This window comes from Homo sapiens, chromosome 7 (assembly GCF_000001405.40).
Source record: "Homo sapiens chromosome 7, GRCh38.p14 Primary Assembly".
Lineage (NCBI taxonomy): Eukaryota > Metazoa > Chordata > Mammalia > Primates > Hominidae > Homo > Homo sapiens.
In genome coordinates, this window is record NC_000007.14 from 102,109,900 (window position 1) to 102,124,869 (window position 14,970).

Consider the following 14,970-nt stretch of genomic DNA (forward strand, 5'->3'; position numbering starts at 1 on the left):
AATGATCGTTGAGGGACTGTTCAGTAGAAAGAAACCTAGAAACAATCTGAGTGTCCACAGAGGCTTAAGTTAATTATTTAATAAGAATGAGGGAGAACTATGTTTGCTGGAATAGAACATTTCCAAAATACAGAGAAAAGTGAATAAGGGACCCCAGAATGTGGTGCACGTTGTGATCACCTTTGTATTAAAAGAACAGGGCAGGGAGATTATATTATACTATACTATATTAAACACTTCTATTTCAGTAGCCTATTTCATATTCATATTACACTATAGTATATTACATTACTTCATTATTACACTATAGTATCCTGCATATTAGTTCGTACTATGCTATAGTATATTTCATTCATATTTTGCTATACTATGTGACATATTAATTTATATTGTGCTATAGTGTGTTACATATTCACATTATGTTATAGCATGTTACATATTAGTTCATATTAAGCCGTAGTATATTACATTAGTTCACATTCCACTATAATGTTACATATTAATTCATATTATGCTATAGCATGTTACATATTAGTTTGTATTACACTATAGCTTGTTACGTGTTAGTTCATGTTACGCTCTAGTGTGTTACGCATTCGTTCATATTACGCTGTAGTGTGTTATGTATTAGTTCATATTACCCTATAACGTGTTACATAGTAGTTTATGTTACACTATAGTGTGTTACGTATTAGTTCATATTATGCTATAGCTTATTACATATTAGTTCATAGTACACTATCATTTGTTATGCATTAATTTCTATTATGCTATAGTGTGTTATGTGTTTGCTTATATTACACTATAGGCTGTTACATATCATATGTTACATATTCATATTTTGCTATAGTATGTTACATATTTGTTTATATTACACTTTAGACTGTTACATATGATGTCGTATTTCTGTACATGCAGAAACATTTTAGAAAAATACAAATGAACTCCATCTGAGGAGCGGAAATGAGCCAAGGAATAGTAAGACTCTTTCACTTCCCATGCTCTTGTCATATTTGATTACATCCCTGAGTGTCCATAATTGAAATACATGAAAATATTAACAGTGCTTTTCTAGAGGTGATGAGAATTGGGTTGACTTTGTAAACTGTGTCATTTCTACTTTTCTGTATCCCAGTTTATTATTATGAGAGCATATGTTAAATTCATATGATATAAAAATAATCAACTTATTTTTGGAGGGGTTTTTTTTTTTCCCCCAGATTAAGAGGAAGGAATGCTATTTATTGACCAGGGAATTCACTTAGAGATCCTGGGAAATCTGAATCTGTGGAATGCAGTTGCGAGCATTCACAATGTCCCCATTAGGTATTGCAGTTGCGTTTGCATTCCATTATAACAGAGACGGAACAGCTGCCACATCTATTTAGTGCATCCTTTATTCCAACAAACTCCTTCATTGTGTCAGCAGAATGTAAATGGATCATTCTTCTTGCGCTAACTTCAGAAAACAATGAGTGCATGATGATGATTTTTTTTTTTCTTTTTAAAATCTGGCATTTCAAGAACAAATTACATTTAGGATAACCTTCTACGCCAGTTACCACCCATCAAGCCCCACGGGTTGCACACTTGCCGTGATGTGACACGCAGTTACAAAGTTGGGGTGTGGAAGCTGCGGGAGCGGGGCCCACGGCACACGTGTCGTTGCGGGCGATACCCCGTGGTGCGCCTGCCGCCAGCTGAGCGCAGGGAGGGAGCTGAGCTCAGCCGAAAGGCACACGTGCATTTCAGTTGGTAAAGGAGATGACCAATTTGGCTTCGTCCTCTTCCTTTGCAGAAAGCTGCAGGAGACACAGATGTCCACCACCTCAAAGCTGGAGGAAGCTGAGCATAAGGTTCAGAGCCTACAAACAGGTTTGATACTCTCCTTCCTAGTACCATGGATGTGGGGAGGACCCAGGGGGAGAGTTGGGTCAGCCCCTGACCGCCCCGGTCCCCGCGGATACCTGTTGCTCTTCGGGGCCGTGGGAGCTGCCGGGAGCCCACGCTGAAGAATTCCGCAGCACGCCCGCCAGCTGCTGCGCCTCATTCCTCACTGACTTTGAGTTGTTAATGTAGAGGTGGGAGGATCTCGATTCCATTTTCATCCCTTCCACACGCCATCCTTGCTTCCTGCTCTTTTTCCAACAAACACTTCTAAATCACCAAACTGTCAAGGACTGACATTTCATTTGGAACAATAATAGAAAAAAAAAAAAAAACTCACTTCTACCCTAAGTGAAGTTAAGGAGAACAGTAATTTCAGACCTTTAAAATTTAAAAGCCACCAAAAAAGGTTATGCTCAAGTTTTTACAGTATCTTTAAACTTCTTTCTCTCTCTCTTTTTTTTTTTTTTTTTGAGACGGAGTCTCGCTCTGTCACCCAGGCTGGAGTGCAGTGGCACGATCTTGACTCACTGCAAGCTCCGCCTCCTGGGTTAATGCCATTCTCCTGCCTCAGCCTCCCGAGTAGCTGGGGCTACAGGCGCCCACCACCATGCCTGGCTGATTTTTTGTATTTTTAGTAGAGACGAGGTTTCATCATGTTAGCCAGGATGGTCTCGATCTCTTGACCTCATGATCCGCCCACCTCAGGCTCCCAAAGTGCTGGGATTACAGGCGTGAGCCACCGCGCCCAGCCCTCTCTCTATTTCTTTTTTTGTTTTGTTTTGTTTTTGTTTTTTTTTTGAGACAGGGTCTTGCTCTGTCACCCAGGCTGGGGTGCAGTGGTGTGATCTCAGGTCACTGAAACCTTTACCTCTGTGGGCTCAAGCAATCCTCCCACCTCAGCCTCCCCAGTAGGTCGGATTACAGATGCCCGCCATAATACCCGCCTAATTTTTGTGTTTTTAGTAGAGATGAGGTTTCACCACATTGGCCAGTCCGGTCTGTATCTCCTGAGCTCAAGTGAGCCACCACACCCAGCCTCTCTTTTTTATTTCTGAAAGAGAAGCATCACCATGTATTTCATTTAAATGTATTTTTAAATTTTTATTATTTTTTTTGATGACCCAGAACTGAGCAGATTATTTAAATGTAGACAGACATCAGAAGTCATAATTCAACTTAAAACACAAATGACGAGAGTGGGAGAAAATAATCACCACAAATTTGACAAACGGATAATTAAAAAATGTAAAGGCTGTAAATCAATCCATTAAAGGAGAGAAACAGTGCAGTCGAACAATAAGCAAGGGATATGAACAGTCAGTTCACAGAAGAAATGCAAATGGAAACTACACATATGAAAAAATGCAAAGTTTTTTTTACAGTCAGGGAGATGCAGATTCAATTAGTGAAAGACTGTTTTGCCTGTCAGACTGACAGCATTTTTTAATTATTTATTTATTTATTTTTGAGACGGAGTCTTGCTCTGTTGCCCAGGCTGGAGTGAAGTGGCACAATCTCGGCTCACTGCAACCTCTGCTCCCCGGGTTCAAGTGATTCTTCTGCCCCAGGTTCAAGTGATTTTCCTGCCTCAGCCTCCCGAGTAGCTGGCGTTACAGGCGCATGCCACCATGCCCGGTTAATTTTTGTATTTTTACGAGGTTTCGCCATGTTGGCCAAGCTGGTCTCGAACTCCTGACCTCAAGTGATCCACCTGCCTCAGCCTCCGAAAGTGCTAGGATTACAGGCATGAGCCACTGCACCCAGCCTAATTTTTTATTTCATTTTAGAGACATGGTCTCTCTCTGTCGCTCAGGTTGGAGAGCAGTGATACAATCATAGCTCATTGCAGCCTCAAACTCCTGGGCTGAAGTGATCCTCCTGCCTCAGCCTCCCAAGTAGCTGGGACTGCAGGCAAACACCACCACACATGGCTACTTTTTTTTTCATTATTTCTTTTATGGACATGGAGTCTCACTGTGTTGCCCAGGCTGGTCTTGAAGTTCTGGCCTCCAGTGATCCTCCCACCTCAGTGTCCCAAAATGCTGGGGGATTACAGGTGTGGGCTACCGCACCTGGCCTTTAAAAAAAATATAGCAATTCTGGCCTGACAAAGACTTGTCAAAAATTATTGAAACATCCAGTGTTGGTGACGGTGAAGTGGCACTTATGGAATGGATGGGCATGGAAGGAGCCTCTTGGGAGGCCAGCTGGGTGGCATTTATGTAAAGCTCCAGTGCCCAAGCTGTTCAGCCAGCAGCTTCACTTCCAGGTATCCTGATGAGAGAACTGAAGGTTATTGCCACTGCCTGGGTCCACATGTGGAAGGACTCCCATACCATACTGCCCAGGGAAAAAGGCTAGTCTCAAGAAATATTCATACCGTCCCATTTATGGGGGTAGAAAATAAAAAAAGATATATACACACACATATATACATGCAATTATGTATGGAAAATTTTTTCTTAACGTAAAATACACTTTCTTTTATTTTGTTACACTTTTTTGAAATGAGTCTCGCTCTGTCACCCAGGCCTGGAGTGCAGTGGCATGATCTCGGCTCACTGCAACCTGCATCTCCAGGGTTCAAGTGATTCTCCTGCCTTATCCTCCCAAGTAGCCGGGATTACAGGCTATGCGCCACCATGCTTGGCTAATTTTTGTATTTTTAGTAGAGACAGAGTTTCGCCATTTTGGCCAGGCTGGTCTCAAACTCCTGACCTCAGGTGATCTGCCCGTGTCAGCCTCCCAAAGTGTGAGCCACCTCGCCCAACCAGAAATAATAAAATACACCTTAAAACATGAAATCATCCAGGTACAGTGGCCCACACCTGTAATCCCAGCCCTTTGGGAGGCCAAGGTGGGAGGATGACTTCAGGCCAGGAGTTCCAGACCAGCCTGGGCGACATAGCAAAACCCTGTCTCTACAACAGTGTTTTAAAATATTAGCCAAGCGTAGTGGCTTGCACCTGTAGTCCCAGCTACTTGGGAGGCTGAGGCAAGAGGATGGCTTGAGCCCAGGAGTTAAAGGTTGCAGTAAGCTGTGATTGTGCCATTATACTCCAGCCTGGGTGACAGAGTGAGAAAACTTGTCTCTTAAAAATGGAAGGGAAAGAAAGAAAGAAGGAAGGGAGAGTGGGAAAGAAGAAAGGAAGGGAGGGAGGGAGGGAGGAAACTATTAACATTGGTTCTGTCTTTGTAGGTGCTTGGGATTAGATGAGGCAGAAATGAAGGGGGATTTCCTATTCCATTTTTTGTATTTTCATCATCTTGGCCTCTTTTGTGTGTTTTTAATCTTTATTTTTCCACGCACCTCGCTCCTCACAGAAATCTTTGCCTCTTTTGAAATGGGAATAGATTACCTGTGTATGCATTCTTTTAAAATTTCATTTAAATAGTTAGTAATTCTTTGCCTTTCAGCCCTGGAAAAAACTCGAACAGAATTATTTGACCTGAAAACCAAATACGATGAAGAAACTACTGCAAAGTAAGTCTCTCTGCTTGGCCTCCCTTATCCGTACACATTTCTCACCTGATTTTGCTTGAGTAGGGCAGGATCGAGAAGGTTCTTGACCTCTGTGCTGCTGCAGGGACACAGTGTATTTCCCATGAGTTACTTGCGTCGGTTCAATGCACGTTCTAGCACTCACTGGGTAATCCTTCCAACAAACTTCTTTCCTTCTTTATTGTGAAGGCTGGTCACTGCTATGCCTTCTGCCATGAAAATTTGGGAGTTAGTTTATATAAGATGTGACACATGGGACATTTTTTGTGTGGAGTTGAGTCTGGGTAAATCACATGTCTTTTTCGCTGGGCCACAGTTCTTCATTTCTCCCAGGGCCCTTTAGGAAGGCCTGCCCCAGAATAAGCACATTCCCACGCAGGCATAGGGGTTCATGTCACACCTAACAACGCTAGGTGTGGATATACGGATAGACACAGATTCGGGCAGGCAGAGTCACAAAAGGCCAATTCCTACCCAGCTCTTGTCCAAAGGAAATTAGAGGTGTCCACTACAAGTGTACTTTTTACCCGCCCATCTTTCATGCAGAACACCAGCAAGGAAGAAATAATAATTGACATAAATCATGAAAAGATGAAGAAATGGCAGAAATTGCTCCTAGCCATTGCCTCCTCTACCAAACTCCCGGGGAGCAATGCCAGGCTAGAGTTTGAACCACTTTTTCCTGTTCTGGAAGGCTCTTCCCATCTTCCGCGGAAACACACACGCGTGCTTACTGCCATGTCTCTTGGGTTTCCCTATTCCAGTTACAAAGGTCCCCGCACTCTGCTCACACAGTGCCTCCGTGGGCATCGGCAAGAAGACGGGTACTTCTGAATGGCGCCGCTGTCCCACCAGGCTCCACCTCTGTATGGGGTGCCGGCACTTACTGTCCCTCTGCCCCATCTCACGTGACCTTGGGCTTTGAGGGTGCTGCTGGGTCTGTTGCTTTCAGGATGCTGTGTGGGGTTCTTGGCCCTTTGCTCTGGGTCATTTAGTAGCCTGAGACCTCGAGAGCCCAGCTTCGTAGCCTGGTGGTCAGAATGGATTCTGATCATGAGTATGAAACTTACAAAGACTAAAACATCACCACTAGATCAGCTACTCTCTTCTCTCAATTACTGCTTGGACCTGATTAAGCAACTTACTTACTTGCACTAAGTAGGTTGTTTTTCTCAGTAAATCTGATTTTTAAAACTTACTATATTTCACCGAGCATGGCAGTGTGCACCTGTAGTCCCAGCTACTTGGGAGCCTGAGGTGGGAGGATCACGTGAACCCAGGAGTTGAGGCTGCAGTGAGCTGTGATCGTACCAGTGCACTCCAGCCTGGGCAACAGAGCAAGACCCTGCCCCTAAAAAAATTTTTAAAATATTGTTTTAGTTTTAAAAAACATGTCAGGGGCTGATTGTCCTTCACATAAAAATTAGCCCTGTCTCAGGACTGTAGCTGAGAGGGCAGTGGCTCTCTTGGGGTGCGCCCCACCTGCCCTCTGAAGTAAGAAACATTCTTGTCTCCCCAGTGGTGAGCCAGGCCGAGGGGTGTGGTGTGCATGAAGGGAGAGAGACTCACTCGGTTAGATGATAGGCATGGCTCAGAGATAATAGATTCATTCATTGATTCAACAGACATTCACAGAGGCTTCCTCTGTGCCTCGCCCTGTGCAAATTCTGAGACTGTTACGGCTCCATGGGGAGACAGGCCATTGCAATCCAGCATGCCCAGTGCTGCAATCAAGGGGACAGGGCGCTGACGGTCAGCAGGTCAGACAGGGAGCCTGCAGGTGGCAGGCAGGGCACTCCCATTGGGATAGTCAGAAGAAAGTTTGGCAGGGTGCAGTGACTCACGCCTGTAATCCCAGCACTTTGGGAGGCCGAGGCAGGTGGATCACCTGAGGTCAGGTGTTCGAGACCAGCCTGGCCAACATGGCAAAACCCCATCTCTACTAAAAATATAAAAATCAGCTGGGCATGGTGGCGTGCGCCTGTAACCCCAGCTACTGAGGTGGCTGAGGCAGGAGAATCGCTTGAACTCTGGAGGCAGAGATTGCAATGAGCCGAGATAGCACCACTGCACCCCAGCCTGGGCTACAGAGCCAGACTCCATCGCAAAAAAAAAAAAAAAAAAAAAAGGTCAATATTGGGCCTATTTGCAGAGGTGCAGTTCCTAGGCTCATAGTACCGGCAGGGTTTCCACGCCTGGGTTTGAATGAGCCAGAGCGGGGAAAGGTAGCTAGAGACTGAAGGTGAGGGCCCCCTCGAGGGGAGCCGTGGCCTTGGGGAGGGAAGAGGGACCCAGGGCAGCGCCAGGGACCCCTTAACTGATCCCCTCTCTCCTCCCACCAGCCAGGGGAGCTGGGGAAGGGCATAGTACATCCCTAGCATCAGGGGAGCGCAGGGAAAGAATTGTCGAGGAAGCCTTCCTAAAGAGGGTGGTATGGGATTCGGGATTGGAAGATGAGTCAAGTCAGGTTTTGCAGAGGTTTGTGAAGATGCAAGCCTGGCGAAGCCTGTCTTGGGGAGGACCTGCCAGAGGTTCCGAACGATTTGCCTGTGGGGTAGGATGGGGCAGCCTGGTGGGGCATTTCCCACATCAGAAACGGTCTGGACACTGACAAAGGCAGCCTAGGACCAACCACGTAATGTAATAGTTCCCAGAGTAAGTCATCCCCCAAAAATGCAGAGAATGGCCTGAGAGAATTGGATCTTGGCTACTTTCTTTTAACTTTGGAGGCCATGGGCTCATTCTGAGACCTCCCCCACTGCCTTTGCCTCCCCTTTTATTTTCCAGGACAGATTTGTCACTATTCCGTCTGCTTCAAGTCCAACCTACATGTATTTTATTAGACCAGACACGTTTTCATTCATGTTTGTGAATATAAGCCCCTTGGGGCAAATCTTTTCACATATGGTCTTACAGCATTTCAAAAACAATTTATTTTCCCTCTTCTGAAGGAGGGATTCTTAGGGCCAGGCGCGGTGGCTCACACCTGTAATCCCAGCACTTTGGGAGCCTGAGGCGGGCGGCTCACTTGAGCCCAGGAGTTCAAGACCAGCCTGGGCAACATGGCAAAAGCCTGTCTCTACAAAAAATACAAAAATTATCCTGGCATGGTAGCTCCTAACTGTAGTCCTGGATACTTATGAGTCTGAAGTGGGAGGATCGCTTGAGCCCAGGAGGTCGAGGCTGCAGTGAGCCTAATTATACCACTGCACTGCGACCTGGGTGACAGAGCAAGACCCTGTCTAAAAAAAAAGGGATTCTTAAATATTTGTTGACGGGAATTGGAGAGGCATGAAGGAAGATGGGTTTTGGAGAAAGACTGACTTGGGATTGATTCACTAGGGTCCACTACGAGCTCTCTGCGTGACCCTGAATGAGCTATGAGCTGTCCACCTCCCTTTCTGACCTGTACAATGGGCATACCGGAAGTCAAGTCACTGGGTGGTTTTTGTTGTTGTTGTTGTTGTTGTTTTGTTTTGAGATGGAATCTTGCTCTGTCGTCTAGGCTGGAGTGCAGTGGCACGATCTTGGCTCACTACAACCTCCACCTCCTGGGTTCAAGCGATTCTCCTGCCTCAGCCTACCAAGTAGCTGGGATTACAGGCGTGCGCCACCACATCCAGCTAATTTTTGTATTTTTAGTAGAGACGGGGTTTCACCATGTTAGCCAGGATGGTCTTGATCTCCTGACCTCATGATTCGCCCACCTCAGCCTCCCAAAGTGCTGGGATTACAGGCGTGAGCCACTGCACCCAGCATGCTAGGTGGTTTTGAAGAGGCAGGAATGGGATGTGTGTGTATAGCACCTGGCATGGTGAGAGTCTGAGGCTAAGCTGTCGAGAGATAGAAGCTATTCCCAGCAAGCTCAGAGCAGGGCGTGGTATGCGTTTCTGAAATTAACGGCCTTGGAGGAAATTGACTTTCACCGCATCACCACGACGGACTGGGCCCACATTGTCTGTCTGTCGTGGGGAGATGTCACAGGGTACCCATCCCTCTCCCGTTTTGGAGAGAAGCCCGCAGGTCTGTGGTACTGAGGCTGCTCCGAGACCCCGGTTTATCGTGAGCAGTCATCGCCATGCGTCAGCTGGGACAGCACGGGCTGACTGTGGCAGACAACGGCAGTAAAGTTTTCCATGTGTAGGCTTGAAGCAAAATGTAATTAGCCTTTATGTGCAGAACAAGGGCCCATTGATGAATACAGCTGGTCTTTGTTTTGTCCTGTCGTTGAGAGTGGGAGGTAAAAGTGTTCTTCTTCATGTTTATTAATGCAAGATTCCTTAGACAAATGGCAAGCACAGTTTAATATTTGTTGGAACATGGGGGCTTTGCCAAAACAGTTGTTGTGTAAGAGGATTGCAAGGTTTCCGATTATAACCATTTCTGGGTTAAATAAATGAATTATTTCTGCCCTTTTTTTCTTTTTTGAAATTTTTTTAGAGTCAGGGTCTCACTGTGTTGCCCAGAGTGGTCTCAAACTCCTGGCCTCAGGTGATCCTCCCGTCTTAGCCTCTCAAAGTGCTGGGATTACAGGCATGAGCCACTACGCCTGACATTCTTTTTTCTTTAGTTAAAAACATAGCTCCTTCTCAGATGGTCACCCTGTGTACGGATCTTCCCGCTTCTCTTAGCAAATGGAGATTTACCACCCTAATAGCCTTAACCTTGGAGACTCTAGCAAAGGAACGTGCTGTGGATTTTAACATCTAAACAATTCCTTGGGATGGATGGCCGTGGAGGTGGCAGATCCCTGGAATCACGCAGCAGTAGGCAGCCCAGAGAGAGGCCTGGGCATCCCTCACTGCCCCAAGTTCCTGCATCCGTCTCCTGCAGCTGTTCACTTACTTGATCTTGGGTTTGGGTTGCTACTGCACCCTCCAGCAGGAATGTCGCCCTCCCAGCCAAGCGGCTAGTGTTCTGGGCAAAAATGCAGGAATTCCCATTTTTGCTGAAGTCCACGATCCTATGCCCTGTCCCCAAGAATCTGGATTGGAAAAGGAGTTCCAGCTGCAATACACACAGTCAGCTTCTTGCATTCCTCCCCACTCGTGGGCCGAGGCACTGAGCCTCGATGAAAGAAAATATTGAATCGCACTGAAATACTACATTTTTTATAGCTAATGTTAGTCTTAGGAGAATTTGCACCTCCCAAACCTTTCCTGCCAGTAAAATTCGTATTTCTTAAGGTTACTCATGTTGTATTCCTAGCCTATATGCTTTTTTCAAAGAACGACATTGTGTATACACATACTTACATAGTACGGTTACAAAAGAGACATTTACGAGGAACTTCACTTAGGTTAATTTTAGAGTATTTTCTTTATAACATGTATATAACCAGTACTTTATCACAAAATACAACGTGCTCTGAAACAGCAGAAAACTTTCCCGTAGCTAACTCAGCACTGGGGAGCCTCTACGCTTCTTTGGAGGGATAGAGAACTCCAGATCCCAAAGGAGGACATAAGACAGAATTTGAAAAGGGGAGGAGGCTGGGCATGGTGGCTCACGCCTATCATCCCAGCACTCTGGGAGACTGAGGTGGGAGGATCACTTGAGCCCAAGAGTTTGAGACCAGCCTGGGCAACATAGTGAGACCCCACCTCTACCAAAAAATACAAAAATTATCTGGGCATGGTGTTGTGCCTTTAGTTCCATTTACTTGGGAGGCTGAGTTGGAAGGTTCGCTTGAGCCTGGAAGTTCCAGCCTGTAGTAAGCTATGATTGCATCACTGTACTCCAGCCTGAGTGACAAAACGAGAGCCCATCTCTAAAAATAATAATAATAATTTTTAAAAGGAGGGGAGGAGGATACCAGCAGTTCAAGACACAAGTCTGCATGGCAAATGTGGGTGGGATGGATACTTTCTTTTTATTTTATTTTTTATTTTTTTGAGATAGGGTCTCTGTTAGTTATTCAGGCTGGAGTGCAGTGGTGCGATCATGGCTCACTGCAACCTCCACCTCCCGGGTTCAAGTGATTCTTCTGCCTCAGCTGCTGGAGGAGCTGGGATTACAGGCTTGTGCCACCATGCCTGGCTAATTTTTGCTTTTTGGTTTTTTTTTTTTTTGGAGACTGAGTCTCGCTCTATTGCCCAGGCTGGAGTGCAGTGGCACGATCTTGGCTCACGGCATCCTCCGCCTCCCGGGTTCAAGCGATTCTCCTGCCTCAGTCTCCCAAGTAACTGGAATTGCAGGCATCTGCCACCACACCCAGCTAATTTTTGTATTTTTAGTAGAGACGAGGTTTCACCATGTTGGCCAGGCTGGTCTCGAACTCCCAGACTCAAGTGATCTGCCCGCCTTGGCCTCCTGAAGTGCTGGGATGACAGGTGTGAGCAGCTGGGATGGATACTTTGTTTACATACTGTTCTGGACTATTTCACAATGATTTCCTGAGTGTTATCTTGTTTGCCCTTTCCTGAAGTCACTGGGGCAGCTTTTATTGTGCTCATTGCATGGATGAGGAAGCAGTCCCAGGAACACGCAGATTCAGGCCCTGGACCTGGTCCTTTAGGCTCAAATTCCAGTGCTTTTTGCTTGAGACCACGGCGGTCTTCAAAGCCCCTTTCTGGTGCCAGCTTTGTAATCAAGCAGCAAAGGTGAGGGCTAGTCAGGTGAAGGCAGGCGTTCCTGGGGGGTTCAGCCTTTCCCAGCCTCACAAGCCCCCGTTGTATTTACCATAGCAGATTGATTTTTCCCTTTTTGAACAATAATTCCTCATGAAAGACTCACAGAACTGGGGCCAGGTAGAGCCCGGTTGAGTAAACCTGAGAATCACCCAGCTGTCTTGACCATCATATTTAGACAAATATTGCATCCCCTGATTGAATTTGAAAGGGACAACTTAAGCATCCTGAAAACAGAGTCTGTCTGCTGTACCTTTAAGAATGTAAAATTTTCTATTTCCTGTCTTTTTGATGAGTCATCAGTTTCCAGTACGAGTTGCTGTAATTACCCTGGTTGGATTAATTTCCCTAAAAATAGAGAAGCAGCCACTTTTATGGTTTTCAGAGTATGGACTTGAATAAAGAACCTCCTGTCCTTTAAACCTTAGAGAGCACTAAATCAGACTTGCAGGGAAAAACCGATGGCCTTTTTTTTTTTTCTTCCTGTGTCTTATCTCCAAAAGGGGCTTGTGGATTTTGTAGAATTCTTGGGATTTTTCATCTCTGTACAAGTATTTTGCTCCACACCTAAAAATTGATGCCTGGGTGAGCCCTGAAGGATTTTCCTTGTCTTTTGTAGTAACACCAGCTGTCTTGGCCCCCTCTGAATAGTACAACCATGACCTGGTGTCTCCCCAGGTTGGGGGCTAGACAAAAACAAGGGGGTGGCTTCATAGTTCCAAGTCCAGGTAGAAATTCCTCTGAGCGCTGACGATTCTTTGCCAGTTCTGTGGCCCCCAGACATGGCTAGGAAATGTAATTGACATGTAATAGACATGTCTATTGCAAAGCATCAGTGAGAATTGCCAAACTTTACTCCTCTCCTTCATTGATGTTTAGGGAAGGGCTGCTTTACTGTGGTAGGTGTGGTGTCAGGTGCTGGAACGATAGAGTAAGGACAGGGTGGGAGGGGGCTTACAGACGTCACATGCACACACACAGGCTCACACACTCTGTACTCAAAAACACGTACACATAAATAGAGAGGCAGCCGGGCACGGTGGCTCATACCTGTAATCCCAGAACTCTGGGAGGCCGAGATGGGTGGATCACCTGAGGTCAGAAGTTCAAGACCAGACCAGCCAACATGGTGAAACCCCGTCTCTACTAAAAATACAAAAATTAGCTGGGTGTGGTGGCGCATGCCTGTAATCCCAGCTACACGGGAGGCTAAGGTAGGATAATTGCTTGAACTTAGGAGGCAGAGGTTGCAGTGAGCTGAGATCGCGCCACTACACTCCAGCCTGGGCAATAGAGTTAGACTCTGTCTCAAAAATAAAAAAAAAAGAGAGGCACTGTGCATGTGGCCATGTATATAAACATGTTTGTGAATATAAACATGCAATCAGTTTTTAAAAAATTTTTATCGGCCGGGCGCAGTGGCTCATGCCTGTAATCCCAGCACTTTGGGAGGCCGAGGCGGGCGAATCATGAGGTCAGGAGATTGAGACCATCCTGGCTAACACAGTGAAACCCCATCTCTACTAAAAATATAAAAAATGAGCCAGGCGTGGTGGCGGGTGCCTATAGTCCCAGCTACTCGGGAGGCTGAGGCAGGAGAATGGCGTGAACCCGGGAGGCAGAGCTTGCAGTGAGCCGAGATTGTGCCACTGCACTCCAGCCTGGGTGGCAGAGTGAGACTCCGTCTCAAAAAAAAAAAAAAAAAAATTATCATACAGTCTCTCAACCAGTCCTACTGCTTTTTTTTATTTATTGATTTTGAGACAGGGTCTCACTCTGTCACCCAGGCTAGAGTACAGTGATGCGATCTTGGCTCACTACAACTTCTACCTCCCGGTTTCAAACGATTTTCCCACCTCAGCCACCCAAGTAGCTGGTATCACAGGTGTGTACCACCACACCTGGCTAATTTTTGTATTTTTAGTAGAGATGGGGGTTTCACCATGTTACCTAGGCGGGTCTTGAACTCCTGAGCTCAAGTGATCCACTCATCTCGGCCTCCCAAAGTATGGGATTACAGGCATGAGCCACCGCGCCTGGCCAATAAAGCAATCATATTCATCCAGCATCCTTTGAGAGGGTAGAGAAAATCATTATTCACAGACTGTCACCTGGGTTTGGCGTGCATTCCTACAGATTTTACCTATTTAAGAGATCCTTAAAGTTTTTCTGATTCACTGTTAAGGTAAGCCTAGGGATCTTGCAGTGTATATGTGAAGGAAATGGGTAACGGACTGTTGAGTGAATACAGTGTATAGATTGTAGCACATATGGTGATCTGTGAAACGGGGGTGTCATGACACACCCCTTCCTGCATCCCAAAATTGTGGGGGTCAGGGTGGATAACGGGCATTTCTGCAGCCTGCACAGCAGTGCCGAATGCAGGCTGCAATCCAGCAATGTCACTGCTGGGTATTTATCCAAAGAAAGGAAATGGCTGTGTTGCAGGCATACCTGCACTCACACGTTTATCACAGCGCTGTTCACACAGCAGCCTAGGTGAGGAAGTGACCTATGTGCCCAGCTTCAGATGAATGGATGAAGAAAATGTGTAGATCCACAGTGGAATATGATGGAGCCTTACAAAAGGAAATCCTGCCATTTGCAACAACAACGTGGATTCATCTGGGGGATGTTACATTAAGTGAAATGAACCAGGCACAGAAAGACGAATACCACAAGATCTCACTCATGTAAAACGTTGATCACATAAAAGTTAAGAAGAATGGTGGTTACCAGGGGGTGAGGAGAGGTTGGTTAAATGATACATATTTATAGGTAGACAGGAGGAATAAGTTTGAGAGATGTATTAGACAGTGACTATAGTTAATGCCGGTATATTGTAAAATTGGTTAGTAGAAATTTTTTTTTTTTTTTTGAGACAGAGTCTCCCCTCTGTTGCCCAGGCTGGAGTGCAGTGGCATGATCTCGGCTCACTGCAACCTCCGC

At 45.9% G+C, this 14,970-nt stretch overlaps 1 protein-coding gene across 25 annotated transcripts in view, besides 3 other annotated features; it reads left to right on the plus strand.

Moving 5' to 3' along the window:
- The window catches only part of CUX1 (cut like homeobox 1), a 467,952-nt gene that overhangs the window by 293,893 nt on the left and 159,089 nt on the right, over positions 1-14,970 (plus strand). For all 25 annotated transcript variants that reach the window (NM_001913.5, NM_181500.4, NM_001202545.3 and 22 more), the window contains 2 exons: positions 1,799-1,875; positions 5,308-5,374. In NM_001913.5, coding sequence (NP_001904.2) covers positions 1,799-1,875; positions 5,308-5,374 — 144 coding nt within the window. The remainder of the gene's footprint in view (positions 1-1,798; positions 1,876-5,307; positions 5,375-14,970) is intronic.
- Positions 6,130-6,424: a silencer, noted in NCBI's record as "tiled region #1808; K562 Repressive non-DNase unmatched - State 15:Elon". NCBI's record gives its function as "represses a minimal TATA promoter and a strong SV40 promoter by Sharpr-MPRA in K562 cells {active_cell/tissue: K562}" and the evidence as "EXISTENCE:reporter gene assay evidence [ECO:0000049][PMID:27701403]".
- Positions 9,278-9,777: an enhancer, noted in NCBI's record as "H3K27ac hESC enhancer chr7:101762457-101762956 (GRCh37/hg19 assembly coordinates)". NCBI's record gives its function as "activates a minimal SCP1, AML or CMV promoter by ChIP-STARR-seq in primed H9 embryonic stem cells {active_cell/tissue: H9 hESC(primed)}" and the evidence as "EXISTENCE:reporter gene assay evidence [ECO:0000049][PMID:30033119]".
- Positions 13,615-13,841: a silencer, noted in NCBI's record as "fragment chr7:101766794-101767020 (GRCh37/hg19 assembly coordinates)". NCBI's record gives its function as "represses an EF-1alpha promoter that drives an FKBP-Casp9 reporter gene in an ReSE screen in K562 erythroleukemia cells {active_cell/tissue: K562}" and the evidence as "EXISTENCE:reporter gene assay evidence [ECO:0000049][PMID:32094911]".